This window comes from Homo sapiens, chromosome 17 (assembly GCF_000001405.40).
Source record: "Homo sapiens chromosome 17, GRCh38.p14 Primary Assembly".
NCBI classification, from domain to species: domain Eukaryota; kingdom Metazoa; phylum Chordata; class Mammalia; order Primates; family Hominidae; genus Homo; species Homo sapiens.
In genome coordinates, this window is record NC_000017.11 from 7,377,072 (window position 1) to 7,404,477 (window position 27,406).

The window sequence follows — 27,406 nt, forward strand, 5'->3', positions numbered from 1 at the left end:
AGATCTAGAGCAGGTAAAGTGATCATTGTTTTTTTTTTTTTTAATCCTTTTTGTGTGTGTGTGGGTGGGGGCGGGGTGAATGGAGTCTTACTCTGTCACCAGGCTGGAGTGCAGTGGTGCAATCTCAGCTCACTGCAGCCTCCGCCTCCTGGATTCAAGTGATTCTCCTGCCTCAGCCTCCCAAGTAGCTGGGATTACAGGCACATGCCACCATGCCCAGCTAATTTTTGTATTTTTAGTAGAGATGGGTTTTTACCATGTTGGCCAAGATGGTCTCGATCTCTTCACCTCATGATCCGCCCGGCCTCCCAAAGTGCTGGGATTACAGGTTGAGCCACCGAGCCCAGCATTTTTTTTTTTTTTTTTTTTTTTTGAGACAAAGCCTCACTCTGTTGCCCAGGCTGGAGTGCAGTGGCATGATCTCGGCTTACTGCAACCTCTGCCTCCCAGGTTGGAGCAATTCTCCTGCCCCAGCCTCCCACGTAGCTGGGATTACAGGCGCCTGCCACCATGCCTGGCTAATTTTTGTATTTTTAGTAGAGACAGGGTTTCACCATGTTGGCCAGGATGGTCTTGAACTCCTGACCTCAGGTGATCCACCTGCCTCGGCCTCCCAAAGTGCTGGGATTATAGGCGTGAGCCACCGCGCCCGGCCAGATCATTGGGTTTTAAAAATCAGAGTAGTAGTTCCTTCTGGGGGATGAAATTGACTAAAAATAGACACAAGGGAACTTTATGGGATGAAAGAAATGTTCTGGATCTTTAGCCACATTAATAGATGTGTACATTTGTTGAAATTCATCATATTATACAGTTAAATGTGTACATGTTACTGACTATAGATTATATCTCAGTAAAATAGTGTAATGAAGTAGAGTAGGGGCCGGGCGCGGTGGCTCATGCCTGGATTCCCAGCACTTTGGGAGGCTGAGACAGGTGGATCACGAGTTCCGGAGTTCAAGACCAGCCTGGACAATATGGTGAAATCCCGTCTCTACTAAAAAAATACAAAAATTAGCCAGGCATAGTGGCAGGCGCCTGTCGTCCCAGCTAATCAGGAGGCTGAGGCAGGCAACTGCTTGAACCCGGGAGGTGGAGGTTGCAGTAAGCCGAGATTGTGCCACTGCACTCCAGCCTGGGCGACAGAGAGACTCTGTCTCAAAAAAAAAAAAAAAGAAAGAAAGAAAGAGAGAGAGAAAGAAAGAGAGAAAGAAAGAAAGAAAGAAAGAAAGAAAGAAAGAAAGAGAAAGAAAGAAAAAGAAAAGTAGAGTAGGGCCAGGCATGATGATGGCCCACGCCTGTAATCCCAGCACTTTGGGAGGCCGAGGTGGGCAGATCACAAGGTCAGGAATTTGAGACCAGCCTGGCCAACATGGTGAAACCCTGTCTCTACTAAAAATACAAAAATTAGCTGGGCGTGGTGGTGCGGCTGTAATCCCAGCTACTCCAGAGGCTGAGGCAGGAGAATCGCTTGAAACCGGAAGGCGGAGGTTGCAGTGAGCCGAGATCGTGCCACTGTACTCCAGCCTGGGCAAAAGAATGAAACTCCGTCTCAAAAAAAAAAAAAAAAGAAAAGAAAGTAGAGTAATTTTCGGCCGGGCACGGTGGCTCACGCCTGTAATCCCAACACTTTGGGAGGCTGAGGTGGGCGGATCACCTGAGGTCAGGAATTCAAGACCAGCATGATGGCGGGTGCCTGTAATCACAGCTACTTGGGAGGCTGAGGCAGAAGAATCGCTTGAACCTGGGAGGTGGAGGTTGCAGTGAGCCAAGATTGCACCACTGCACTCCAGCCTGGGCTACAGAGCGAGACTTGTCTCAAAAAAAGGAAAAAAAGTAGAGTAATTTTTTTTTTTTCTCTGTCACCCAGGCTGGAGTGCAGTGGCACAATCTCGGCTCACTGCAAGCTCCACCTCCTGGGTTCACGCTATTCTCCTGCCTCAGCCTCCCGAGTAGCTGGGACTACAGGCGCCTGCCACCAGGCCCGGCTAATTTTTTTGTGTGTGTGTATTTTTAGTAGAGACGGGGTTTTCACCGTGTTAGCCAGGATGGTCTCCATCTCCTGACCTCGTGATCCACCCGCCTCAGCCTCCCAAAGTGCTAGGATTACAGGTGTGAGCCACTGTGCCTGGCCAAGTAGAGTAATTTTCATATGAGTATAACAACAACCAAAAAATAAAATTAAAAAACCCTTCCATGTAAGGATTAAACAGCACATCAGATGTAACCAAAGAGAGAATTAGTGAACTGGAAGACAGACTGGAAGAGATTACCTGAATGTATCACCAAGACACAAAGAGATGAAAGATACAGGAGACAGGTTAAAAGACACAGAGTACAGAATGAAAAGGTCTAGAACACTCCTAATCAGAGTTGGCAAAGGAGAGAGCACAGAGGACAGAGGAAAAATAATATCTGGATGGTTTCTGAGAACTTTCCAATATGATAAAATACGATAAAAGATGTGAATTCATACATACAGGAAGTACAACATATTGAGCAGAATAAATAGAATAAATAAACATCTAGATACATTGTGACAAAACTACAAAACACCAATGATATCTTAAAAGCAGGGAGTAAAAAGAGATCATCTACACAACAATGAGGATTAGACTGAGGAGACTTCTTTACAACCAACATGTATCAGGCCTATTATATGCCCACACTGTCCTAGGTACTTAGAACACAAGTATGAACAAGCCAGGCCCAGCCCCTACCCTGTGGAGCTACAGAACCTCTAACAGGGATCGCAGATGTGCAGTAACAATTATAGTGTGATGAGCGATCCTGGTTGGAGGGCAAAAGAATCGGCAAGAAAACAATACCATAGAACAGCATTATGAAGATTTTCCTATCCCACGTAGGATCCACACAGGGACTGGCCCCCAAGCACAGATCCTTGCTGGCAGCCTGAGAGTCACTCGGTCTAACTTGGTTTCAAGGCAACTCCACCAGCCTTTATTAAATAAGGCTCTGGGTCTCTGGGTACTGGCTGCCTGCTCACACTTTCCCTTACAGACATCTGGACCCCTCCCTTACCCCACATTATAAGCAAGGAGGAAGAAGAGGACCCGAGGCTGGGAAACGTGGAGGTGGCAGTTGGGATCAAACATCCTACATGTTTACCAAGACCAGGAGGGCTTTTCCCTCCAAGGGACCCTTGGGACAGCAGCTGCTATGTTCACGCGTCCTTCCTTGGGACAGGGGACAGACTAGATGTCCTAAGACTGGCAGCTTCCTCTCTGGGACCCCTGAGAGAAGCGGAGACAAATGGTCCTCCTCAGGGCCTTCTTCAAGGTCCTGGACTTAGTCCCAGTGGCCACAGGCTAGGTAGCAGTGTGCAGGGCCCTGAGTTCTGCAGAGCTTGCATGGAGAGCAGGCGTTACGCTGGAAGGAAGCCCAGGAGTGTCAGTAATGGGGAAGCGTGCCCTGAGGCATGGAATGCTGCCGGTGATCAACAACAGCTTCAACTGTAGACTCTGTCTAGGCCAGGGCCAACTCTCCGTACCAGCATCAACATCTCTCTGCCCTGGCCCCATTCCAGGGTTCATTAAGTAAAGCCTGCTAGGAAGCTCTGAACCCCCTGCCATGGGGCAGGAACTGTGTCCTATTTAGCCTTATATTCCCTGTGCGTGGACAGGATAGCTCTATCGGGCGCTTATTCATGTAAGAGGTAGGGTCCTGGCTGAGAGGTGAAGGATTTGGCGAGAGGGCATGGGGGACAGAGACAGAGGAGTGAAGTCTGGGGAGGGCTGGGAAGCTATTCGGAGAAGGCTGGAAAGACGTGAAGGAAGACGAGCAGAGGAGAAGGGAAGGGGGCTTCTCACAGTCGGGGCGATCTGGTCTGGAGGAGGGAGGGGCCGCCAGTCGCCCTGGGGACCGTCACCTTGTCCCACTAGGGAACTCGGGGTGCGGCCCTCGCCGGCCCCGGGCCAGCGGCCAGGTCCCCGCCCTCCGCGGGATTTACTCCTGTCCCGCCTCCTCGGATTTAGCCCAGGCAGCCTGGGAGGTTCCGCAGTCGCCGCTTCCGCCTTGACCAGGTGAGGGTCCGGACCGAGCAGGGGGCCCGGGCTGGGGAGAGCCGGCGGAGCAGCCGTCGCTGGGGGCGCGTCCGGGGGGCGCTGGGCCTGTCCTCTTCTCCTGCGTCCTTCCCTCCCGCAGCCGCGCTTCCTCCTGTCTCCCTTCTGCGCTCCCCGCTTCCCACCGAGCGCGCAGGGCCGGGTCCCCCAGGGTCCTGGGCTTTCTCCTTCCCAACCCAACCCTGTTCGCGCCCGGTTCTGAGTCCACCTGCGCGTTTCCAACTAGGCCCAGCCTCGATCCTCTTCTTCCTCCTTGCTTATAATGTAGGGGAAGGGACGGGTCCAGGAGTGTGCTAGGGAAAGTGTGAGCAGGCTGCCAGTACCCAGAGGCCCAGAGCCTTATTTAACAAAGGTTGGTGGAGTTGCCTTGAAGCCAAGTTAGACCGAGTGACTCAGGCTGCCAGCAGGCATCTGTGCCTGGGGCTGAGCTCAGGTAGGTGTGGGACTGTGTACCTGACAGCCTCAGTGGCTCCATAGGCAGCACCTAAGCCTAGCGGCCATCACAAGTGCCTGATTTGATTTCAAATGTTGCTGCCTCCGGTGGAGGAGAGGCAATGACTGTGGACCTCTTTTGGCTTGAGGGGTCCCTATGCCCCCATAGCTCAGGTATGCTGTGTGCACACTGTACCTCGATGTCTGTGTGTTGTGTTCATGTGGACCTTTGTGTCTTAGCCGTGTGGGGCAGTGTATCTAGGTGTTTGGAGGCAGTGAACTGCCATGTCCCATGGATGTGACACGTATGTACAAGGAACATCTCATGGAAGGACACAGATGAGCCTGGGCGTTTTGTGGCCGCATGCTGAAATGTCTCAGCGTTAAGACGACATATATCGGCCGGGCGCAGTGGCTCACGCCTGTAATCCCAGCACTTTGGGTGGCCGAGGCGGGCGGATCACGAGGTCAGGAGTTCAAGACCAGCCTGGCCAATATGGTGAAACCCCATCTCTACTAAAAATACAAAAAATAGCCGGGCATGGTGGCACGCGCCTGTAGTCCCAGCTACTTGGGAGGCTGAGGCAGAAGAATTGCTTGAACCCGGGAGGCGGAGGTTGCAGCGAGCTGAGATCACGCCACTGCATTCCAGCCTAGATGACAGAGCGAGACTCCGTCTCAAAAAAAAAAAAAAAGAGGACATGTATTTGGGAGTCTCGGCCATGTTTTGCAGTATATCTGTAGGTCTCAGTGTGTGTGTGTGGCAGCATGTGGGAGGCAGTGTACCTTCGTGTGTGTGCGTGCTCTACCTACATGTCTGAGGTATGGTGTGGTTGTCATATCTGAGCATCTCCAGTGTGTGTGGTAGGCAAACATGTCTCATGTTGGAGGAAGGGAGATGTCTCATGTTGGAGGAAGGGAGATGTCGTCTCAGGTGTGTATGAGTGAGTTTGTGCCACTGCGTAGCTCAGGTCTAAAAGGGCAGTGTTTCTGGGTGTCCGGGTGTGTGATGTGCCGTGATATTTCAGAGTCAGGATGGTAACATACCTGGAGTCTGTAGTAGGAGCAGGCAGTATGCTAAAATTGCAGGTGTGAGCAGGGCAGGTTACTCAGCGGTGAAGGGACAGAGTACCCGGATGCCTGGGCACGGGGAACATTCTATCTGGGATTTGTGTGCGTGAGTGGCAGGGATCCTGGCTGTCTCTGCTGTGTCCCTGCCTCTGTACCTGAGTGTTTCTAATGACTTGCAGGTGGAGCTGGAGACCTGGTCTCTCTAGGGCCTACCCTGAGCTCACCATCTGAAGGAGAGTGCCATCATCCTTAGGAACTCCTTCTCCAGACATGCTTCCTGAGGCTGGCTCCCTGTGGCTACTGAAGCTGCTCCGGGACATCCAGTTGGCCCAGTTTTACTGGCCCATCCTTGAGGAGCTTAATGTCACTCGGCCAGAGCACTTCGACTTTGTAAAGCCTGAGGACCTGGACGGCATTGGCATGGGCCGGCCTGGTGAGGGACCCCTGCCCCGAGGCCCTGGTCTCTCTGTCCACAGCCTATCAGTTGCCTTCCCCCACCACAACCCTCTTCCAGCCCTTTTCTTCCCTGTAAGTCTCTCCGCACTCTTCCCCACACCCACCTCCACTCCAGCCCTGATTCTGGCCTCCCACAGCCCAGCGCAGACTGTCCGAAGCTCTGAAAAGGCTACGTTCTGGGCCTAAGTCTAAGAACTGGGTCTACAAGGTGTGTGTTGTAGGTGGGCAGCTTGGGCCTGGGAATGAGGTGGCTTGAGGGGCAGGGAGGGGGGCGCAGGGCTCTGCATACCGGATTTCCCATCCCTGTTTCAGATCCTTGGAGGTTTTGCCCCTGAGCACAAGGAGCCCACCCTGCCCTCGGACAGCCCACGGCACCTCCCTGAGCCAGAGGGGGGCCTCAAGTGTCTGATCCCAGAGGGTGCTGTTTGCAGAGGGGAGCTGCTGGGTTCAGGCTGCTTCGGTGTGGTGCACCGAGGGCTGTGGACGCTGCCCAGTGGCAAGAGTGTGAGTGTCCAGGGAGCCCGCTTCATCCAGGCCAGCTGCCCCCTCTGTTCTTCATGCCCGCAATGCCTAAAGGCGCTTCCCCCCACCTCCAGGTCCCAGTGGCTGTCAAGTCCCTCCGGGTAGGTCCCGAAGGCCCGATGGGCACAGAACTGGGGGACTTCCTGCGAGAGGTATCGGTCATGATGAACTTGGAGCACCCACACGTGCTGCGTCTGCACGGCCTTGTACTGGGCCAGCCTCTGCAGATGGTGAGCAGATCCAGCCGCTGGTTCCCGGGACAGCCGTGCGGCAGGAGCGTGGGCGGCCAGGGTCCAATGGGTCCGGCTCACGCGGCGCGGTGTTCCCTCCTGCAGGTGATGGAGCTGGCGCCACTGGGCTCCCTGCACGCGCGCCTAACGGCCCCGGCCCCGACACCCCCGCTGCTCGTGGCCCTGCTCTGCCTCTTCCTGCGGCAGCTGGCGGGAGCCATGGCGTACCTGGGGGCCCGCGGGCTGGTGCACCGAGACCTCGCTACGCGCAACCTACTGCTGGCGTCGCCGCGCACCATCAAGGTGGCTGACTTCGGGCTGGTGCGGCCTCTGGGCGGTGCCCGGGGCCGCTACGTCATGGGCGGGCCCCGCCCTATCCCCTACGCCTGGTGAGAGCGGGTCCGCGGGCGGTCGGGCTCTGAGCCGGGCGGATCCGGAGGGCAGCAGCCGAGGGAGATCGGAGGGGGCCGGGCTTCTGAGGGAGGCTTGGACCAGAAGGGTTATCCTCCTAGGCAAAGAGGACTTTTGTGAAAGATGGGTGCACTCGGGGGTGCTCCGTGGAGGGTGGGCCTCCAAGGAGCACGTGTCCCGCCCCTTTCAGCTCCACTTCCTTCGGCAGGTGTGCCCCAGAGAGCCTGCGCCACGGAGCCTTCTCGTCTGCCTCGGACGTGTGGATGTTTGGGGTGACGCTGTGGGAGATGTTCTCCGGGGGCGAGGAACCCTGGGCCGGGGTCCCACCGTACCTCATCCTGCAGCGGCTGGAGGACAGAGCCCGGCTGCCTAGGCCTCCCCTCTGCTCCAGGGCCCTCTACTCCCTCGCCTTGCGCTGCTGGGCCCCCCACCCTGCCGACCGGCCTAGCTTTTCCCACCTGGAGGGGCTGCTGCAAGAGGTGGGAACCCCCGACCTCACCAGATACACAGTCCCTCTTCCCTCCATTCGCTCTCCCAGGGTTCCATGCGAAGACTAACACATCTAGATGTCTGTGCTGGGCTCTGGGACTCAGCTCTGAGCAAAACAGATGCAGTCCCTACCTGCAGGGAGATCAGAGCCCTGGGGAGGCAGCTTGGGGCTACACAGATGCAGACTGAAAGGCTGGGGTCTGTGTCTGGGCCAGGAAAGGGGCATAGAGGAGACAGCACTCAGTTGCAGTCGTGTTGACACGCAGAGGAAGAGAAGGGCTCAGCGTGGGAGGGGAAAATAGAAATAATGAAGCCGCAGGCCGGGCGCGGTGGCTCACGTCTCTAATCCCAGCACTTTGGGAGGCGGAGGTGGGCAGATCACCTGAGGTCGGGAGTTCAAGACCAGCCTGACCAACATGGAGAAACCCCGTCTCTACTAAAAAATACAAAATTAGCTGGGTCTGGTGGTGCATGCCTGTAATCCCAGCTACTCGGGAGGCTGAGGCAGGAGAATCGCTTGAACCTGGGAGGCAGAGGTTGCGGTGAGCCGAGATCACACCATCGCACTCCAGCCTGGGCAAAAAGAGCGAACTCCGTCTCAAAAAAAAAAAAAAGAAGAAGAAGAAGAAGTAATGAGGCCACAGAGAGAGCAGGAGCTGTGTCATGGAGGGCTTTGCAAGGCGTGTTAAGCTAACACGTAGAGCACTTGACCTGTGCAGGACACTGCACTGTGCACTTTACATGGGCGCTTATGCAGATTCGCTCATTTAATGCTCTCAACCACTGGATGAGGTAATTATTATTAGTAGTATTTTATTTTGAGACAGTCTTGCTCTGTCACCCTAGCTGGAGTGCAGTGGTGGGATCTTGGCTCACTGCAACCTCCGCCTCCTGGGTTCAAGCAATTCTCCTGTTTCAGCCTCCCGAGTAGCTGGGATTACAGGCGCCTGCCACCACGCCTGGCTAATTTTTGTATTTTTAGTAGAGATGGGGTTTCACCATGTTGGCCAGGCTGGTTTCGAACTCCTGACCTCAAATGATCCACCTGCCTTGGCCTCCCAAAGTGTTGGGATTACAGGCATGAGCCACCGTGCCCGGCCTGGATGAGGTAATTATTATCTCCATGTTACTGATGGGCAGTTGAGGCACTGAGAGTTTAAGTGACTTGCCTAAAGTCACATGGTAAGTGGAGGAGTTGGGATTTGAGCCAGTCAGTTTGACTTCAGAGCTGTTCCCTAAGCTGCTACACTCTACCACTAAAGCTTAGTCTTTACTCTGAAGGCATTTGGGAGCCAGGGAAGCCTATTAGGCAGGGGAGTTACAAGCCACTCTCACCATGACGGCACTCTGATGTGGCGCAAGAATGGATTAGAGGGATGATGCTGAGGCTGGGAGACCAGGTAGGCAACAGTGGCTGTGAAGCAGAAGGGAGATGAAGAGGTCTGGATGAGGGTAGAGGCGGTGGGGCTGCAGAGGAGTGGAAATTTCCCAGAGGGGCTTGGGAGGCTGCTCTGACAGGCCTGGATGTGGAGTGAAAGCAGTGTACAGGATGACGCTCCTGTTAGTCCCCCCAGGTAGAGCCAGGGCCCTCCTCTCTTGCTCCTTGAGCCCTGACCTGTTTGTCATGGGATCCAGGTCTGCCTCCCTCACTGAATTACAATGGGGGGACAGGGAGAGTCCCACCCTGGGCCCAGCACAGACTACATACAGAGCGGAGCTCCTCTTTATTCCTGCTCCCATATTACCTATCTGACTCAGGCCACAAGCCCAGCCACCCTTTCCTCTTGTCTCCACAGGCCGGGCCTTCGGAAGCATGTTGTGTGAGGGATGTCACAGAACCAGGCGCCCTGAGGATGGAGACTGGTGACCCCATCACAGTCATCGAGGGCAGGTGACAGTCCCATACCTCCCAAGCACCCTCAGGAGGAGGATACCCTCCCAGCCTAATTCCTGATCCCTTCTCTGCTTCTCTCCAGCTCCTTGAACCCTGATCTTCTGTCTCATCTCCTCTCCCCACTGGGTCCTGAAAGCTCCAGCATGGTCCTGGCCTCCCTGCTGGAGCCACTGCTGGCCCATAGAGCCTTATTGCATTAGGGAAAAGGCTTCCCTTCCTCCAGGCAGATGCGGCTCCAAGGCACATAGCCTAGTGAGCTGACTGTGGGCCAGGGCCCAGCCCTAACTCTTGCCCTTATTCCCATCCTATTTACCAGCTCCTCTTTCCACAGCCCCGACTCCACAATCTGGAAGGGCCAGAATGGTCGCACCTTCAAAGTGGGCAGCTTCCCAGCCTCGGCAGTGACGCTGGCAGATGCGGGGGGCTTGCCAGCCACCCGTCCAGTCCACAGAGGCACCCCTGCCCGGGGAGATCAACACCCAGGAAGCATAGATGGGTGAGGACCTGAAAGGGTGAGGGCAGGGGTTGGCTGGGAGAACTGATGAGGTCCAGGAGCTTCTCTGGAAGAGAAGCCTGGGGACAGGACCAGAGTGAAGCTGCAGCCTCCACCCTGGGCCCTGGGTCTCCTGGGTTCCCCTGTGAGTTTTTTTGGGAGGGTATATTGATCTGTGGGGTGGGGAGAGTTGGTGTGGAGGATGAACTGGATCCCTCTCCGACAGAGACAGAAAGAAGGCAAATCTTTGGGATGCGCCCCCAGCACGGGGCCAGAGGAGGAACATGCCCCTGGAGAGGATGAAAGGTGGGTGTGGTGGACTCCAGAGTCTCTGAGGAGATCAAGACCAGTCCTTCAATTCCGACCCCCTGCCCTAAATCCATGCCTTTGCATCTATTATTTCCTTCCTCTGAATTCTGTCTGCTGGCATCCTAGCTATACTGTGCAATCTATTTTTTTTTTTTTTTTTTGAGACAGAGTTTCACTCTTTTTGCCCAGGCTGGAGTGCAGTAGCGTGATCTTGGCTCACCGCAACCTCCACCTCCCGGGTTCAAGCGATTCTCCTGCCTCAGCCTCCCGAGTAGCTGGGACTACAGGCATGTGCCACCACACCCGGCTAATTTTGTATTTTTAGTAGAGATGAGGTTTCACCCTGTTGCCCAGGCTGGCCTTGAACTCCCCACCTCGGGTGATCTGCCTGCCTCGGCCTCTCAAAGTGCTGGGATTACAGGCGTGAGACACTGCGTCCGGCCCTATACTGTGGAATCTTAAAAGATAGGAAGCCCTCCTGCCTTCCCTTCTGAAGAGCACCTCCACACTCTGGGCCCTGAGCTCTGAGTTCTCTGGGCCCTCCGCCTAGGCCTTGGTGTCCACTTGCCCATCTGTCTTATTGTCCCACCTGACACATGAACCACCCAGGGACAGGGCTGGCTAGCTCATCTGCAAATGCTTGCAAAACCATCCAGCTCAGCACAGATGAAGACAGAGAGTGGGGCCAGGCATGGTGGCTCAAGCCTGTAATCCCAGCACTTTGGGAGCCCAGCGTGGGTGGATGGCTTGAGTCCAGGAGTTTGAGACCAGCCTGGGCAATGTGCCGAAACCCCTTCTCTACAAAAATACAAAAATTAGCCAGTCGTAATGGCAGGCACCTATAGTCCCAGCTACTCGGGAGGCTGAGGTGGGAGGATCGCTTGAGCCCGGGAGGCGGAGGCTGCAGCCAGCCGAGTTCAAGTTGTTTCCTTCTCAACTGTGCAGGCATTTCCAGGAGTCTGGAGTCAGTTCTGTCCCTCGGTCCTCGTCCCACAGGGGGTGGTTCAAGCCCCCCTGAAATTCGACAAGCCAGAGCTGTGCCCCAGGGACCTCCAGGCCTGCCTCCACGCCCACCTTTATCCTCTAGCTCTCCTCAGCCCAGCCAGCCCTCTAGGGAGAGGCTTCCCTGGCCCAAAAGAAAACCCCCACACAATCACCCCATGGGAATGCCTGGAGCCCGTAAAGCCGCTGCCCTCTCTGGAGGCCTCTTGTCCGATCCTGAGTTGCAGAGGAAGATTATGGAGGTGAGGTCTCACTGAAATGGCCTGGTGTCCAGAAGGGGCTACAGGCAGGGGCAGGGGCCTGAGTGAGGCTTTGTCTGTCACAGGTGGAGCTGAGTGTGCATGGGGTCACCCACCAGGAGTGCCAGACAGCACTAGGAGCCACTGGGGGAGATGTGGTTTCTGCCATCCGGAACCTCAAGGTAAAGCCAGCCCCTTCTCTTGGGGTCCCTCCTCTCCTGCCCCTGCCGCCTGGCAGTCAGCTGCAACCCACCCTCCTGCTTCCACAGGTAGATCAGCTCTTCCACCTGAGTAGCCGGTCCAGAGCTGACTGCTGGCGCATCCTGGAGCATTACCAGTGGGACCTCTCAGCTGCCAGCCGCTATGTCCTGGCCAGGCCCTGAGCTCAGCTTCTGCGGGCACAGACACCAGCATGAAAAGCCTAGGCCCCTGAGGGCCTGGCCACATGGGACCAAGCGGAACCAGAACAAGGTCCCGACAGGGGTAGACGTTCCACCTGGGGAGATCCCACCTGCCGTAGGCACATGGAGGAGGAGCCCAGAGTTGGGCACTGGCAAATGTCTCCTCCCTCCCATGCTCCTTGGCTTCTGAAGGCTGAAGCTCCTTTGGCTGGGCCAAGAAGGATCTAGTCTGCCCACTACATTCTCAAACAAGAGGACTTGGAAGAAAAGAGCTGCTATACATCATATGCAGAGGAAGCTTCTACGCGCTAGAGAGGATCAAGGGGCCACACTGGACCATGTGAACAGCCATCCTGAACTGCCATCAGCTACCACACTGGACTCTGCAGGGCAGCCATCCTGGATGATGGAAGCCACCATATTGACTTGGGGTATAGGCCCAAACTGCCTTCGTTTGGTCCAGGGCCATCGTGGGTGATGACGATTGCTCTCTTGCACTCAAGGACATTTGATGCTGGTAGTATGGATTATGAGATGGACTAGCCCCTGCCCCAGCCCAGCTCTCACATTCCCCTTTGTTTTTTCCCATACCAACTGCTTCTACCCTCCCCTATTACATACATCTTTCAATGTCCAAAAAGTTACAAAGTTTATATGAATGTAACATATAAAGATGCAGCCTTTTTCCTAGGGCAAGGGAAGGAAGGGCAGTTACATAAGGCACAGGAATCGCAGCAAGCACCAGCTGAAGGCAGGGCCCTAGTGGGAGAGGAAGTTGGCACTGGGGTCCCCCTGCAGCTGTTGATGGGGAGGTAGAGACCCCCTCAAAGTGCCATGGTCTGAGGCTGAACTAATTGGCCAAGCAGATGCTAGGCAGCGGCGGGGGGGCGGTGGCTATATCCACCGTCTTTGGTGCAGCTTGCCCTTCCACACCCCAGCCCTCTTGTAAAACCCCAGAGTCCTGGGTTCCAGAGGCCTCCTTTGGAGCAGAGGCCCTGGAAGGGGGTGGGAGAGAGTGCATGGGGAAAGTGTGAAAGCTGATATGCCTGTGTGCCGAGGGACTGCTGGGACAGTGGTGGGAGGTAGCAGGAGAGCGGCTCTCATACATACCCCTCCTTGGGAACCACAGGGGCAGGCGGCCAGGGAGTAGGGTAGGGATGGGGCCCCCCTTCTGTCCCCTGCAGTGTACATGGAGGAAAGGGGCTGCCCAGAGGAGGGGCCAGGGCAGGTGACCATCTGGAGTTCTGGTCGAGGTGATGGTCTCCTCACACCATGGTGGCCTCTAACTGGTGACGGCAGAGGGCCCAGCGCCTCCTCGCTTCTCAAAGAACATGTAGTCCTAAGAGGAGGCCACTGTCAATGGGAGATCCGGCTGGGCCAGCCCAGCTTGGCTGTCACAGGCCAGCTCTAGAACCTCAACCCCCACAACACCTATTCCTGACTTTCCCCTAGCAAGAGGCCAGGAAATGCATAAAGCTTCAAATGACAGCAAAGGACAGGCAGGAGGTGGGGGCAGGGGCAGCCAACTCACAATGAGGAATGTGGCTCCCAGCAGCACAGCCTTCACCCTCACATCCAGGTCCAGCGGGAACTGTAGGCCAAAGTCATCTGCATCTGTGAGGGCTTCTCGGACCAGGCCCCCCCACTGCTTGCTGATGCGGCCCACACTGCGGGATTCATCCCGAGTCTTCACCTGTCATCAGGGAGGGAGAAAGGACCCAGCTGAGGAGGAGGCAGCCAGTCTCACCTGCTCCAGTCTCATTCCCACAGTCGCACGTATGAATTTGCAGGGTCTCCACTCAGTGAATCTTCCCCTCTAATGGTCACCGAGTGATCGCTTTCCTAACTGGTTCCCATCACAGAGTATGACAGCTGGGGAAACTGAGGCACTCTAGATCACGCTGAGTCTATACCCAAAATTAGGATTCAGACTCAGATCTGCTGCTATCGAAAGGCGACGCATGACATAACTGAACATCAGTGGTGGGAGAAATGGAAGCATGACAATCCAACCCCCTTAGGGTATGGCTGTTTGCTAGGTTTGCTCTGGTTCCCAATGCCCCTGCCACCCACAATTGGCACAGCTTGTGCCCTACACAAAGTAACCTGGCCAAAAGGGCAAGGAAAGCTACTGGAATTCTGGCTGTACTTCACCAGTCAAGAAGGCTCCTAGAAGGCTATGTCTACCCCGAAGAGTACCTTTTCTCTAATCTGCAAAGTAGGGGAGGGCCTTGCCCAGCACTGCATGAGAGCCTCATCTAGAGAGGGATACATGCCTATCTACTGTGGAGAGAGGCAGCAGTAAGTAGCCTTTGAGGACCACAATTTCCACTGGCTTCTCTGAGCCACACAGCAACAGGCTCTGCTGATGTGGGTAGTTACTCCCCGTGACTTCCTGGTCCTTTTCCTGTGCTCGTTCTCCAGTGATTAGAACTGCAGTGATTTCCTTTTGTGCCATTCCCATCCCCTTCCTGCACTGTCCTACAGCTCTGGGGCACTTCCTGCCATGGTCCTAAGGGTACAGCCCCAAGTATGGACCATTTATAATTATGCAAAAGGGACACTGGCCCTATGAGAACCCCACAGCCTATACATTCCCATCTGGAGATCACGCAGTTATTATATCTTATTCCCAATTGGTTCTCATCATGGAATCTCCCTCTGGCTACCAAGGTGACTCATTTTTGCAAAGTAACCTTAGGTAGGGTACCTCATTAGAAGCGTTGGAAAGTCTACTGGATTATACCTGTTGTTTCTCCCTTATCTGCACAAGCAATTATCCCTTAAAGAACTCAAGGGTCGGTCAGGTGCGGTGGCTCACGCCTGTAATCCCAGCACTTTGGGAGGCTGAGGTGGGCGGATCACCTGAGGTCAGGAGTTCGAGACCAGCCTGACCAACATGGAGAAACCTCGTCTCTACTAAAAATATAAAATTAGCCAGGCATGGCGGCGCATGCCTGTAATCCTAGCTACTCGGGAGGTTTAGGCAGGAGAATTGCTTGAACCCGGGAGGCAAAGACTGCAGTGAGCTGAGATCATGCCATAGCACTCCCACCTGGGCAACAAGAGCAAGACTCTGTCTCAAAACAAACAAACAAAAAACAAACAAAAAAAGAACTCAAGGGTCTGTGGAGTGCCTTTGTCTTCTAGAAACCAAGGTGCTTCCCAGGCCTCACCTCACTCTGAAATTCTTGCCACTTGGGATCTCTAGCTTCCAGACTGGTGACAGGAATGCACAGTGAGAAGGATATACTGGATTTCGGAATGGCAGGGGCATTTGGATTCTATTTTAGCAGGGCAGGCCACAGGATGTTAACATGTTAAAATCGTGCTTGCTCCAGGGCCTGGGCTCACACACTCATACACAGCAGCCACATGGGCCCGGCCCACACAGACTTAATCGTCCTTCACCCCAAATCCAGGCTGGCCTTAGATTTTTTTTCTGCCCATCTCAGGGCCACTTGTAATAATCAGCATTGCTCCTTAAGATGAAATCCTCGTTGTTATGCTTTTATAAGAGCACAGGGCCATCCTATTTCCAAATGGAGGAATGCTACAAATGCGGTCGGAGTCACAGTGGATTTGGATTGATGAGCTCAGGGTCTTGACCTTAATGTTAACTATCCTGCCTCATGGAAGCATCATCTTGGTTTACGAAGGTCCCAAGAGCCTCTAGTATTCCTGATACCTCAAAGTTGGTGTCTGTGCCACAGCCACAGGTCCAGCAGGGCCCCACCACTCGCAAGACTGTCTGGCGATCGGCATCCTGGATGGAGAACTTGGGGAGGAAGGGATGCCAGGTCTGTAGCACGTGGCCAATGGTGGTGCCTGGTGGAGCCTGTACTTCCATCTGGGAGTGGGAAGCAGACAGGGTCACTGCGGAGGCAGGGGTCCCAGCTCTATCATCTGTCTATTTGGCCCTCACTAAACCTCCCATCCCCACCTGCCCACTCCCACCTGATCCAGGCCTCATCTCAGGTGGACCTCATCATTGTCCCGCCCCACCAAGGCCCGCCCTCCCGGCCCCCTCCCTCCGCCCACCTCCTGGAGGCCACAGGGGCAGCAGCTGCAGCCACAGTGCAGCGGGCGGAGCAAACGCAGCACCTCACGGTCCCCGGGGTCGGCCAGGCGGACACGCAGCGGCCGGCGGGCGCCACAGCACAGACGGGCGCAGCAGTTGCTCTCCTCGGCCGCCTGACCCAGGGGCTGCCCGGCCCCAGAGCGCAGTTCATACCGATTACAGGTCTCCCAGCCTAGGAACGCTGCCCGAGGTGACACGGGGAGACTCGTAGAGCCTCGCGCGCCCAGGAGCCCACCATCCGGGCCACCATCATGAGGTCCAACCTCCCACTCCTTCTACTTACTTTCCACTCGCTCAGCCTTCTGGTGAATCAAAATCTGATCAATCTGGAAAGAGAGGGGCGGCGCGCACATCAGCTGGCCCATCTGGACGCCCAAGTCCCCTCCCAGTCATCCTCCCTCCCTCCTTCCCACTCACCTGCACCAGGAATTCGAGGCCAGAAGGCACCCCTGGCAGTGGCAAGAAGGGGGCAGCAGACCCCAAGGCCACGGGGCCAGGCGAGGGGAAGAGGGCGAAGCCGGGAGCTGGGGCAGGTACCTGGGCGGGCACTGGCGCCTGCCCGGGCCCAGGATGTAGCGCCGGCTCCGGGTACCCAGGGGTGACAGGGTAGGGAGGTGGGGGCGAAGGGGCGTAGCCTTTGGGGGGCAAGTAGCCTGTAAAGCGGTGGGAGCAGGATAGATTAGAAAGGGACTCAAGGCCTCATCCCCTTATTCCTCAGCCCATGGGCCGCGAGGCTTCGGGGGAAACGTGGTGGCAAGAGGCAGAGAAAGATGGGGCAGGGGAGCAGGGTGGAGGTTCCCCGGAAGGAAGGGAGGGGCCCCACCCAGCCAGTCCGAGCACATTCCGGGAGGATGTGTTCAAACCCGGCTCCCAAGTCCGTGGGGGGGATAACGGAGACCCCCAGACTTGCGCGCACTTACCTGCCATGGGAGAAGGGCTGGGGTTTTCGAGATGATGGTGTCTGGGTGGCTTAGTTCTGGAAGCGGAGGCAAACTCGGAGATAGCCAGACAGACACAGAGACAGACACAAAGACGGAGAGGCAGCTGCGCCCGGCGCCGGCCCAGGGTCTCTTGGGCGGCGCCTCTGACTCGGGGAGAAACCCAAGTGTCAGTGGGCGGGACCGGGTACCTGGGACCCTGGATTCCCTCGGGGGCCCCAGAACCGCCCCCTCCCTTTGTTCTCCCATCCTGCGGAGGAGGCTGTGGGCCGACGGCAGGACAGATGGACCCGCGGTCAGACCGACAGCCCCACCCCAAGGGCGGTCTCCCTGACCCCTCTGTGCCCCCGCTCACCTGGAGCCCCCAGAAGAGCCCGGGTGCCTAGCACTCGGCAGCTCACAGGAGCTGGCGGAGGCGGAGGCGGGCCCGAGCTCGGACCCCGGCCCCGCCCCCCGACCCGCCGAGCCCGCCCCCTCCTGGGCGGTGCGTTTGCGCCGGGAGGAAGGCAGCCGTCCGCTGCCCCGGGAAGCCGATCGTGGGCTTTGCTCCTCGGCGTCGCCGACGTTCCCGCCCCTTCCGCTCGGACTGCAGATGCCCAGAGAGTAGGAGCGCCTGGAGAAGGCGGCGGCTGGTCCCGGGCCCCGCGAACGCCGCCAGGCCGGCGGCGTGCGTGCTCAGCGCCCTGGGTGGGAGGCGAGGGCGGCCCGGGCCGCGCTGGCCCCTGGGCTCCTCCTCCCAAGGGCAGTCGGGCCTCGCTGACGCAGCGGAACACCCTTCACACTCACTCATTGGCTTCCAGGACTGGCTCCTGGCTCGCCTTCTGCCTCCCAGGGGCGACCTCGCCGTCTTCTCTCCCTGGCACAGCGGTGACCCACACGGGCACCTCGCAGCGACAGCAGTTTCTGCAGGTGCCCCAGCCACGCGGGTGACAGGCCGCCAAACGGTGTCAGTGAGCGTGCTCAGGCCGCCTAGAGGGCCAGAGGAGGAAGCGCGGTCAGAAAAGACCCCCGAGATGAGTGTCTTCGACTGGATCCTGAGCCAGGACCAGTCCTGCCTTGGGGGCCACTGGCTGAGTGGCGCAAGAGATGAGTTTAGAAACGGAGTGCAGTCCACATACAGGGCGGGTTGTGTGGAAGCTGCGATTTGGCCCCACGAGCAGCGAGGAGTCCACCGAGACATTTTTAGAACAAAGAAGGTCAAATGTGTGTTTTAGAAAGATCGTGGCGGGGCGCGGTGGCTCACGCCTGTAATTCCAGCACTTTGGGAGGCCGAGGTGGGCGGATCACCTGAGGTCAGGAGTTTGAGACCAGCCTGGCCAACATGGCAAAAACCCATCTCTACTAAAAATACAAAAATTAGCCGGGTGTGGTGGCGGGCGCCTGTAGTCCCAGCTATGCAGGAGGCTGAGGTAGGAGAAACTCTTGAACCCGGGAGGCAGAGGTTGCAGTGAGCCGAGATTACGCCATTGCACTCCAGCCTGGGCAACAGAGCGAGACTCCATCTCAAAATAAATAAATAAATAAATAAATATTTATTTAGACATCACCAATAAGGCGAAGGCATCACCAATAAGGCGATAGTTAGGCCGGGCACGGTGGCTCACGCCTGTAATCCCAGCACTTTGGGAGGCCGAGGCAGGCGAATCATGAGGTCAGGAGATGGAGACCATCCTGGCCAATATGGTGAAACCCCGTCTCTACTAAAATACAAAAAAATTAGCCAGGTGTGGTGGCGGGCGCTTGTAGTCCCAGCTACTCGGGAGGCTGAGGCAGGGGAATCGCTTGAACCTGGGAGGCAGAGGTTGTAGTGAGCTGAGATCTTGCCACTGCACTCCAGCCTGGCGACAAAGCAAGACTCCGTCTCAAAAAAAAAAAAGAAAGAAAAGAAAGAAAGAAAGAAAGAAGATGATAGTTGACCCAGAACCTAAAGGAGATGAGGGACTGAGCTGTGCAGATTACTGGGTAAGTGTTTCAGGCAGAGGGAACAGCAAGGGCATAGGTCCTGAGGCAGAAGACCAGTGAGACTGGAATGGAGTTAATGAGGGGAAGGTCAGAGGGGTCACAAGAAGCCAGGTCACGCATGGCCTTTTAGTCCACTGAATTATACCCTGAGATGGGAAATGTTGGAGGGTCTGGACAGAGAAGAGACGTGAGACGTACTGCAGTGGTTCTCCATGTGGAGGTTCCCCCTGTGCCCTAGATGCCACCTGAGGTGAAGGATGGAAATGCAGTGAGAGCACTGGACTGGGAGGAAGGAGCCTACAGACCCAGCCTTGGCTCTGCCACTGGACCTTTGGGTCACTCTGGTTTTTCTGTTTTTTTGAGAGTCTCACTCTGCCACCCAGGCTGGAGTGCAGTGGCGCTATCTTGGCTCACTGCAACCTCCACCTCCCAGGCTCAAGCAATTCTTCTGCCTCAGCCTCCCAAGCAGCCAGGACTACAGCCACCACACCCGGCTAATTTTTGTATTTTTAGTAGAGACAGGGTTTCTGCATGTTGGCCAGGCCGGTCTGGAACTCTTGGCCTCAAGTGATCCTTACACCTTGGCCTCCCAAAGTGTTGGGATTACAGGCATGAGCTACTGCACCCAGCCCCTTTGGGCCACTCTGGAGGTCCCCTCTAAGGGTTTGTTTGTTTGTTTGTTTGTTTGTTTATTGAGACAGGGTCTTGCTCTGTTGCCCAGGCTGGAATACAGTGGCATGATCTCCACTCATTACAACTTCTGTTTCCCAGGATCAAGGCATCCTCCCACCTCAGCCTCCCGAGTACCTGGGACTACAGGCATGGGCCACCATGTCCAGCTAATTTTTGTATTTTTTGTAGAGATGGGGTTTTGCCATGTTGCCCAGGCTGGTCTTCAACTCCTGGGCTCCAACAGTACACCTGCCTCAGCCTCCGAAAGTGCTGAGATTACAGGTGTGGGCCATCACACCCAGCATATTTATTTATTTATTTATGAGACTGAGGTCTTGCTCCGTCACCCAGGAGGGAGTGCAGTGGCACCATCAGAGATCACTGCAGCCTCAAACTCCTAGGTTCGGCCGGGCACAGTGGCTCACATCTCTAATTCCAGTACTTCACATCTCTAATCCCACTCTGCCCAGGCAGGCAGAGCACTGAAGATCAGGAGTTTGAGACCAGCCCGGCCAACACAGTGAAACCCCGTCTCCACTAAAAATACAAAAAAATTGCCCAGGCGTGGTTGGCACATGCCTGTAATCCCAGCTACTCAGGAGGCTGAGGCATGAGAATCGCTTGAACCCGGGAGGCAGAGGCTGCAGCAAGCTGAGATTGCACCACTGCATTCCAGCCTGGGCAACAGAGCGAGACTACATCTCAAACAAAAACAAAACAAAATTCTTAGGCTCAAGCTATCCTCATGCCTGGGGATCCTCAAGCTGGGACTACAGGCACATACTACCACATTATTATTATTTTATTATTATTATTATTATTTTTGAGATGGAGTTTTGCTCTCGTTGCCCAGGCTGGAGTGCAATGGCCTCCCAGGTTTAAGCGATTCTCCTGCCTCAGCCTCCTGAGTAGCTGGGATTACAGGTGCCTGCCACCACACCTAGATAATTTTTGTATTTTTAGTAGAGACAGCGTTTCACCACTTTGGCCAGGCTGTTCTTGAACTCCTGACCTCAGGTCATCCACCTGCCTCGGCCTCCCAAAGTGCTGGGATATTTTTATTTTTTTAGAGACAGCATCTCACTATGTTGCCCAGGCTGCTCTTGAACGCCTGAGCTCTAGCTATTCTCCCACTGTAGCCTCCCAAGTAACTGGGTAGGGGGCTGAAGCAGGAGGATTGCTTGAGCCTAGCAGTTCGAGACTAGCCTAGGCAGCCGACATGGTGAGACCCCATCTCATCTCTTTCTTGAACCTCCTGGGTTCAAGCAATTCTCCTGCCTCAGCCTCCCGAGTAGCTGGGACTACAGGTGCGCACCACCATACCCTGATAATTTTTGTATTTTTAGTAGAGATTGGGTTTCACCATGCCGGACAGGCTGGTCTCGAACTCCTGAACTTGTGATCTGCCCGCCTCGGCCTCCCAAAGTGTTGGGATTACAGGCATGAGCCACCGCACCCGGCAAGACCCCATCTCTACAAAAAAGTAATAATTAGCTAGTCGTGGTAGCTTACACCTGTAGTCCCAGCTACTCGGGAGGCCGAGGTGAGAGAATTGCTTGACCCTGGGAGATGGAGACTGCAGCGAGTCCTTATGGCACCACTGCATTACAGCTGGGTGACAAAGCGAGACCCTGTCTCAAACAAAACGAAAAAGCACAGAGAGGCGGTGGAACAGCTGGAGGGTGGAGGGTGTGCCCCTTCAGATGTGGAAGGCCTCACCAAGGTGATCCTATTGAAGCTAAACTAAGCTTGCACAAAGTGTAGAAGTGTATTCTAGGCACAAAGAATAACTGCAAAACAGGCTGAAAAGAGCAGCTCAAAATCTTGAGGCAGAAGAAAATGTGGTGGGTTGGCAATGTGGATGCCATGTAGTGACAAAGAATCACAAAGCCCGGATGGCCAGTGCAGGCCTTGGAGACAGTGGTATGGCACTTGGAATCTATTTGCAGTGCAGTAGTAAGTAAGTCATTGAAAAGTTTAAGTCACTCTTTTTTTTTTTTTTGAGATGGGGTCTTGCTGTGTTGCCCAGGCTGGAGTATAGTGGCTATTCACAGGCTTGATCTTAGCACACTAGTCTCAAACTCCTAACCTCAAGCAATCCTTCTGCCTCAGCCTCCTGAGTAGGTGAGACTATAGGCACACACCACCGCACCCAGCTATCATCATTTTTAATTTCTATTTTTGTGTATGCTTTATATAGTACAATCTGTATAATATATTGAAGGCATACTTAATTTTTCTGAAGGTATGCATTTTTTTCTTTTTTGAGACAGGTCTTGCTCTGTTGCCCAGGCTGGAGAGCAGTGACACGATCTTGGCTCACTGCAACCTCCGCCTCCTGGGTTCAAGCGATCCTCGTGCCTCAGACACCCAAGTAGTTGGGATTACAAGCACCATGCACCACCACGCCAGCTAATTTGTGTATTTTTAGTAGAGACGGCATTTCACCATGTTGGCCAGGCTCGTCTCGAACTCCTGGACTCATGTTATCCACCTGCCTCAGCCTCCCAGGATTACAGGTGCTGGGACTACAGGCGTGAGCTGCTGCGACTGGCCTGAAGGTATGCTTTTTTTTTTTTTTTTTTTTTTTTTTTTTGAGACAGAGTCTTACTCTGTCGCCTGGGCTGGAGTGGTGCAATGACATGATCTTGGCTCACTGCAACCTCCGCCTCCTGGGTTCAAGCGATTCTCCTGCCTCAGCCTCCCGAGTAGCTGGGATTACAGGCACCCACCACTACGCCCAGCTAATTTTTTAAATTTTTAGTAGAGACAGGGTTTCACCATGTTGCCCAGCCTGGTCTCAAACTCCTGACCTCTTGATTTGCATGCCTCAGCCTCCCAAAGTGCTGGGATTACAGGTGTGAGCCACTGTGCCCTGCCGGTATGCATTTTTAAAAGTGTGCAGATTTTTTCTCTAATGAGAAGATTTTAGGTAATTTCATCTCATTCCGTATCTCTAGTTACAATCTGCATGCTTTTAATTGCAGAATTTCTATCACCAACACTAGTCTCTACTGAGCTCCCGACTCCTGTAACAGCAGCTTTCCAGGCTTCCCTGAAGCAAGAGAGTGTGTTAGAGACCTGAAGGAATTCCTAGGGGCTGGCCTGAGGATTGTGAGAAGGATGACAGGGCCAAATGGTGGAGGGCCTTGTGCGGAGATGTTGTACTGTCTTCTGAGGGCAAAGGGGAGCCAATGAAGCATGTATATCCAGGGAGATGGCATAATTTGAGGTACACTCGTAGATCACAATATTTCTTCATTTTAAAGATGAGTCAGAGGCCAGGCACAGTGGCTCATGTCTGTAATCCCAGCACTTTGGGAGGCCGAGGCGGGCGGATCACCTGAGGTCGCGAGTTTGAGATTAGCCTGACCAGCATGAAGAAACCCTGTCTCTACTAAAAATACAAAATTTGCCGGGCATGGTGGCGCATGCCTGTAATTCCAGCTACTTGGGAGGCTGATTCAGGAAAATTGCTCGAACCCAGGAGGCGGACATTGTAGTGAGCCGAGATCGCACCATTGCACTCCAGCCTGGGCAACCAGCGAAACTCTGACTCAAAAAAAAAAAAAAAAAAAAAAAAGATGAGTCAGGAACCAGACATGTGTTCCTCCAAACTCAGCCTCCCGAGTAGCTGGGCCTGCAGGCTACAGGCACAAGCCACTACACCTGGCTATTTTTTTTTTTTTTTTTTTTTGAGACGGAGTCTGGCTCTGTCGCCCAGGCTGGAGTGCAGTGGCGCCATCGCGGCTCACTGCAAGCTCCGCCTCCCGGGTTCACGCCATTCTCCTGCCTCAGCCTCCCGAGTAGCTGGGACCACAGGTTCCCACCACCATGCCCGGCTAATTTTTTTGTATTTTTAGTAGAGACAGGGGTTTCACTGTGTTAGCCAGGATGGTCTCGATCTCCTGACCTCGTGATCCACCCGCCTCAGCCTCCCAAAGTGCTGGGATTACAGGCATGAGCCACCGCACCTGGCCATGGCTATTTATTTTTATTTTTATTTTTATTTATTCATTTATTTATTTTTTGAGACGGAGTCTCGCTCTGTCGCCCAGGCTGGAGTGCAGTGGCACTATCTCGGCTCACTGCAAGCTCCGCCTCCTGGGTTCATGCCATTCTCCTGCCTCAGCCTCATGCCATTCTCCTGCCTCAGCCTCCCGAGTAGCTGGGACTACAGGCGCCCGGCACCACGCCCAGCTAATTTTTTTTTGTATTTTCAGGAGAGACGGGGTTTCACCGTGTTAGCCAGGATAGTGTCGATCTCCTGACCTTGTGATCCGCCCACCTCGGCCTCCCAAAGTGCTAGGATTACAGGCGTGAGCCACCACGCCTCGCTATTTTTTTATTTTTGTAAAGACAGGGGTCTCCCTGTGTTATCCAGGCTGGTCTCGAACTCCTGGGCTCGAGCAATGTTCCCACGTCCGCCTTCCAAAATGTTGGGATCACAGGCTTGAGCCATCGCACAGGGTCCTCTCTGTTCCTTTCCTTTCAGCATGCAGCACAATTTGTAATGATACATGTTTTGCAAATTTTATAAATGTTTAGTTATTTCAGGTCCATTTCCACTACTAGATGGGAAACTCCTTGAGGGAGGGGATATCTGTCTCCCTCAGGGTTGATCTTCCTTGTAACGTGTCTGACGCATGATCAACACTGGTTTAATAAATACTGTGCCTGCCAGGAGCAGTGGCTCACACCTGTAATGCCAGCACTTTGGAAGGCTGAGGCAGGTGGATCACTTGAGGTCGGGAGTTTGAGACCAGCCTGGCCAACATGGCAAAACCCCGTCTCTACTAAAAATACAAAAATTAGCCGGGCGCGGTTGCGGGCGCCTGTAATCCCAGCTACTCGGGAGGCTGAGGCAGGAGAATCACTTGAACCCGGGAGGCGGAGGTTGCAGTGAGCTGAGATCGTGCCACTGCACTCCTGCCTGGGTAACAGGGCAAGACTGCGTCACAATAAATAAATACTGTCCCCACTAAATATCTTCCAGTTCTCTACATGCTGTGACTGCCACTCCAGCCTGTCCTGCCACCTTTTCTCACTCCTTTCCTACCTAACTCAAACTCAGCCCACATTGAAGACTCCTGCTTCTCCAAACCCCTCCCCTCTCCATCTTGTTCTTTGTTCATTGTTTCTTCCATACAATAGAGCTCCTTTAAGGATCATCTCAAGCATTGTGACACATTTTCTGATCCCCAATACATGATCTGTCCCTGCTTTGAACCCCAAAGTATTTTGTAACTAATGACACTCCTATCCTGCCTTGCCTTAATCCTCACTTCTAGAGTAAGTGGGTGCTGATAACAACAGGGCTGAAAACCATGACCCTATAGTAATTTTTTAAAATCCCAGTACTTTGGGAGGCTGAGGCGGGTGAATTGCTTGAGGTCAGGAGTTCAAGACCAGCTTCGCCAATATGGTGAAACCCCATCTCTACTAAAAATACAAAAATTAGCCAGGCATGGTGGCATGCACCTATAATCTCAGCTACTTGGGAGGCTGAGGCAGGAGAATCACTTGAACTCAGGAGGTGGAGGTTGCAGTGAACCAAAATCGCACCACTGCACTCCAGCCTGGGCAACAGAGTGAAACTCTGTCTCAAAAAAATAAAAATAAAAATAAAAACAGGCCGGGCGTGGTGGCTCATACCTGTAATCACAGCACTTTGGGAGGCCAAGGCAGGCGGATCACCTGAGGTCGGGAGTTCAAAACCAGCCTTGCCAACATGGCACAACCCCGTGTCTACTAAAAATACAAAAAATTAGTTGGGCATGGTGGCAGGCGCCTGTAATCCCAGCTATTCAGGAGGCCGAGGCAGGAGAATCGCTTGAACCTGGGAGGCAGAGGTTGCAGTGAGCCGAGGTCGCGCCACTGTATTCCAGCCTGGGCGACAGAGCAAGACTCCATCTCAAAATAATAATAATAATAATAATAAAATTAAAAACCTAGTATGCATCAGAACCACAAGATGAGCTTATTAAAATACAGATTCTCAGGCCCGAAAGAGTGCTTCAGTAGGAATCTGTGTTATTTCAAGCATTCTTTATGACTTTGATGCCCACCAGGGTAAGAACATTATAATAAGTTAACTTAAAGTGACCAGAATCCCCAGACCTAAGGCTCACTGATTAAGTCTTAGGAAATGGAGGGAGTTCAGAGGTTGAATCCCCACCCTTCGTCCTCCAAGAGGTTAGATGAACAAAGACTCCAAAGTTTATTTGCCTTTCCTTTTTAATCCTCTTCTTACTCCAACTCTTTAAAAAAAAAACTGCCCAGAAAACCCAGTAATTAAGCAAAAGGGAGCTCAAAGAGCCAAGGCAAGCCAGCCCAAGAGTAGCAGGGTCCCTCCCGCAGGGGCCAAAGTCTGGATGCTGGGGTCTCCACTCAGAGCCTGGTAGTAAAAGCTGGTGCAGAATAAGGTCGTTCCGGAAGCTAGCAATAACCCAGCCTGAAGGAGACACAGCACAGAAAACAGGATTGTTAAGAACAGGGCAGGCTGAGAGGGAGTGTGTGGGGCTTGGTCAGGGTTAGGCGCAGGGAAAGATTACCCAGAGTGGCTTTCTGCAATGGGGCACCCCTAACAGGGCCAGGCTGTGTAAGAAGTGGTGTTTGTTGGCCTTGTCAAACAGCTGTAAGAAAAACAGAAACGAAGGGATGTCGTAGGCAATACAGGTACTGAGATCCCCTGATGACACAAGGGACCAAAGTTCCTTCCCCCACCCCACCCTTGAAGTCCCAGCTTGATCCCAGGCCTTTGGCTTACAGAGCCTTTGGCCTTTGCTGCTCCAGAGATCCGCGGCTCGCCCCACCCTCTCCCCGCCCACTTCCCCCAGGGACCCCAGACTTTGTGCCTTCGTAGACCCACGAGTCAGGGAGCCCCAGCGCAGTTACTTCACCTCCTTCCCGTAGGCATCTGGGAATTGGGCGCCTGTGGAGAAAAGAAGCAAAGGTTAGCGGTCCTAGTGCCAGCCCTGACCGCCCCCAATCCGGGGGGACCCAGGTGGACATTGGCGAGAAAGGGCACCCCCCCCCCCGCCCCAGGAAGCTTCCGATTGGTGGGAACACGCTCGGGCAGTACTGGGAACCAATTGGACCCAGCTGGGGGACTTTAAAAGGTTTAGGGCTCCGCGGACTGTCTGATAAACGAGAGGCCGGGCACCTCCCATAGGTTACGCCCTTGCAGCAGACCCCAGAGGACGCCCCAAGTACAGTCCCATCTTCGTCCCCAGCCCCCTGACCGTGCGCCCCGTAGGAAGCGAAGCCTAAGGCCGCAGCTCCGGACAAGGCGCCCAAGCGGCGGAAAGCTGCAGCTGGCCCGGCCATAGCTGTAGAACAGGACGCACCGGACCAACGCCGCCCAGGCCACCCAAGAGGCCAGCCAATCCCGACCGCCCATGCAAATAAGGTTCACAGGCGCCCAATCCGGGCCGTGTTCATTTCAGCATTGCGCTCTTCACCCGCCTTTGTAAAACCGCTGCAGAGTGGCGAAGACGTCTGGCGGGCGGAGAAACCAGCACCAATTAGGAACAGAGGAGCTAAGCAGTGGGGGGGCGGGGTTGAGGGCGGGACTAGGGGGATTTGCGTCAAGGATTGGCCCACTTTCCAAGTTGATCGCCTCTTCGAACCCCCCACCCCCATGCTCCGGCCAATTTCCAAAGATCCCGGTCTTCTCTCAAAGTTCCGCCCCTTTTTCCACAGGCTCCTCCTGTTCAGCTT

At 54.5% G+C, this 27,406-nt stretch overlaps 3 protein-coding genes and 1 long non-coding RNA gene across 14 annotated transcripts, besides 4 other annotated features; 1 reads left to right on the top strand and 3 right to left on the bottom strand.

Annotated features, from left to right (window-relative positions):
- Positions 1-2,975: 2,975 nt before the first annotated feature.
- Positions 2,976-12,671, top strand: TNK1 (tyrosine kinase non receptor 1). 6 transcript variants are annotated; one of them, XM_011524045.3, is made up of 13 exons: positions 2,976-3,676; positions 5,765-6,018; positions 6,179-6,249; positions 6,354-6,545; positions 6,638-6,793; positions 6,899-7,182; positions 7,413-7,683; positions 9,490-9,584; positions 9,919-10,083; positions 10,307-10,386; positions 11,335-11,633; positions 11,717-11,812; positions 11,900-12,671. In XM_011524045.3, exons 2-13 carry the CDS (start codon positions 5,856-5,858, stop codon positions 12,011-12,013), a joined length of 1,986 nt encoding a protein of 661 aa, XP_011522347.1. In that variant the 5' UTR covers positions 2,976-3,676; positions 5,765-5,855; the 3' UTR covers positions 12,014-12,671. The 6 variants fall into 6 exon arrangements, with proteins under 6 accessions (XP_011522347.1, NP_001238831.1, NP_003976.2 ...); NM_001251902.3 differs by lacking the exon at positions 2,976-3,676 and adding an exon at positions 4,018-4,043 and having other exon boundaries at positions 9,904-10,083; NM_003985.6 differs by lacking the exon at positions 2,976-3,676 and adding an exon at positions 4,018-4,043.
- Positions 3,536-4,036: an enhancer, noted in NCBI's record as "H3K27ac hESC enhancer chr17:7283926-7284426 (GRCh37/hg19 assembly coordinates)". NCBI's record gives its function as "activates a minimal SCP1, AML or CMV promoter by ChIP-STARR-seq in primed H9 embryonic stem cells {active_cell/tissue: H9 hESC(primed)}" and the evidence as "EXISTENCE:reporter gene assay evidence [ECO:0000049][PMID:30033119]".
- Positions 7,082-7,341: a silencer, noted in NCBI's record as "silent region_8114". NCBI's record gives its function as "represses an Ori minimal core promoter by ATAC-STARR-seq in GM12878 lymphoblastoid cells {active_cell/tissue: GM12878}" and the evidence as "EXISTENCE:reporter gene assay evidence [ECO:0000049][PMID:35858748]".
- PLSCR3 (phospholipid scramblase 3) lies at positions 12,656-17,454 on the bottom strand. Of its 6 annotated transcripts, none has more exons than NM_001201576.2 (8): positions 17,406-17,454; positions 17,033-17,088; positions 16,530-16,765; positions 16,396-16,438; positions 16,073-16,293; positions 15,720-15,881; positions 13,563-13,724; positions 12,656-13,370 (listed from the first exon to the last, which is right to left on the bottom strand). In NM_001201576.2, exons 2-8 carry the CDS (start codon positions 17,037-17,039, stop codon positions 13,314-13,316), a joined length of 888 nt encoding a protein of 295 aa, NP_001188505.1. In that variant the 5' UTR covers positions 17,040-17,088; positions 17,406-17,454; the 3' UTR covers positions 12,656-13,313. The 6 variants fall into 6 exon arrangements, with proteins under 6 accessions (NP_001188505.1, NP_065093.2, NP_001356336.1 ...); NM_020360.4 differs by having other exon boundaries at positions 17,033-17,196; NM_001369407.1 differs by having other exon boundaries at positions 17,033-17,200.
- TMEM256-PLSCR3 (TMEM256-PLSCR3 readthrough (NMD candidate)) lies at positions 12,656-27,060 on the bottom strand. Its single transcript, NR_037719.1, has 10 exons — positions 26,929-27,060; positions 26,587-26,618; positions 17,837-18,019; positions 17,033-17,196; positions 16,530-16,765; positions 16,396-16,438; positions 16,073-16,293; positions 15,720-15,881; positions 13,563-13,724; positions 12,656-13,370 (listed from the first exon to the last, which is right to left on the bottom strand). It is a non-coding gene; the product is annotated as a TMEM256-PLSCR3 readthrough (NMD candidate) (long non-coding RNA).
- Positions 17,342-17,831: a silencer, noted in NCBI's record as "silent region_8115". NCBI's record gives its function as "represses an Ori minimal core promoter by ATAC-STARR-seq in GM12878 lymphoblastoid cells {active_cell/tissue: GM12878}" and the evidence as "EXISTENCE:reporter gene assay evidence [ECO:0000049][PMID:35858748]".
- TMEM256 (transmembrane protein 256) lies at positions 25,904-27,026 on the bottom strand. The gene is made up of 4 exons (NM_152766.5): positions 26,929-27,026; positions 26,587-26,618; positions 26,239-26,319; positions 25,904-26,138 (listed from the first exon to the last, which is right to left on the bottom strand). The coding sequence occupies exons 1-4, from the start codon at positions 27,011-27,013 to the stop codon at positions 25,995-25,997; spliced, it is 342 nt and encodes a 113-aa protein (NP_689979.1). The 5' UTR covers positions 27,014-27,026; the 3' UTR covers positions 25,904-25,994.
- Positions 26,835-27,014: an enhancer, noted in NCBI's record as "active region_11618". NCBI's record gives its function as "activates an Ori minimal core promoter by ATAC-STARR-seq in GM12878 lymphoblastoid cells {active_cell/tissue: GM12878}" and the evidence as "EXISTENCE:reporter gene assay evidence [ECO:0000049][PMID:35858748]".

What these genes read in the sequence shown, in the direction of transcription:
- TNK1 (NM_001251902.3), top strand. Translation starts at nt 5,856, where the DNA reads ATGCTTCCTGAGGCTGGCTCCCTGTGGCTACTGAAGCTGCTCCGGGAC. An exon ending in TGGGCCAGCCTCTGCAGATG is followed by an intron (nt 6,794 to 6,898) that starts GTGAGCAGATCC and finishes TCCCTCCTGCAG; the next exon opens with GTGATGGAGCTGGCGCCACT. An exon ending in CTGCCATCCGGAACCTCAAG is followed by an intron (nt 11,813 to 11,899) that starts GTAAAGCCAGCC and finishes CTGCTTCCACAG; the next exon opens with GTAGATCAGCTCTTCCACCT.
- PLSCR3 (NM_001201576.2), bottom strand. An exon ending in GCCCCTGTGGCCTCCAGGAG is followed by an intron (nt 15,882 to 16,072) that starts GTGGGCGGAGGG and finishes TCCCACTCCCAG; the next exon opens with ATGGAAGTACAGGCTCCACC. An exon ending in GCACAGACACCAACTTTGAG is followed by an intron (nt 13,725 to 15,719) that starts GTATCAGGAATA and finishes CCCTGATGACAG; the next exon opens with GTGAAGACTCGGGATGAATC.
- TMEM256 (NM_152766.5), bottom strand. Translation starts at nt 27,013, where the DNA reads ATGGCCGGGCCAGCTGCAGCTTTCCGCCGCTTGGGCGCCTTGTCCGGA. An exon ending in CAGATGCCTACGGGAAGGAG is followed by an intron (nt 26,320 to 26,586) that starts GTGAAGTAACTG and finishes TTTTTCTTACAG; the next exon opens with CTGTTTGACAAGGCCAACAA. An exon ending in ATTGCAGAAAGCCACTCTGG is followed by an intron (nt 26,139 to 26,238) that starts GTAATCTTTCCC and finishes TGTCTCCTTCAG; the next exon opens with GCTGGGTTATTGCTAGCTTC.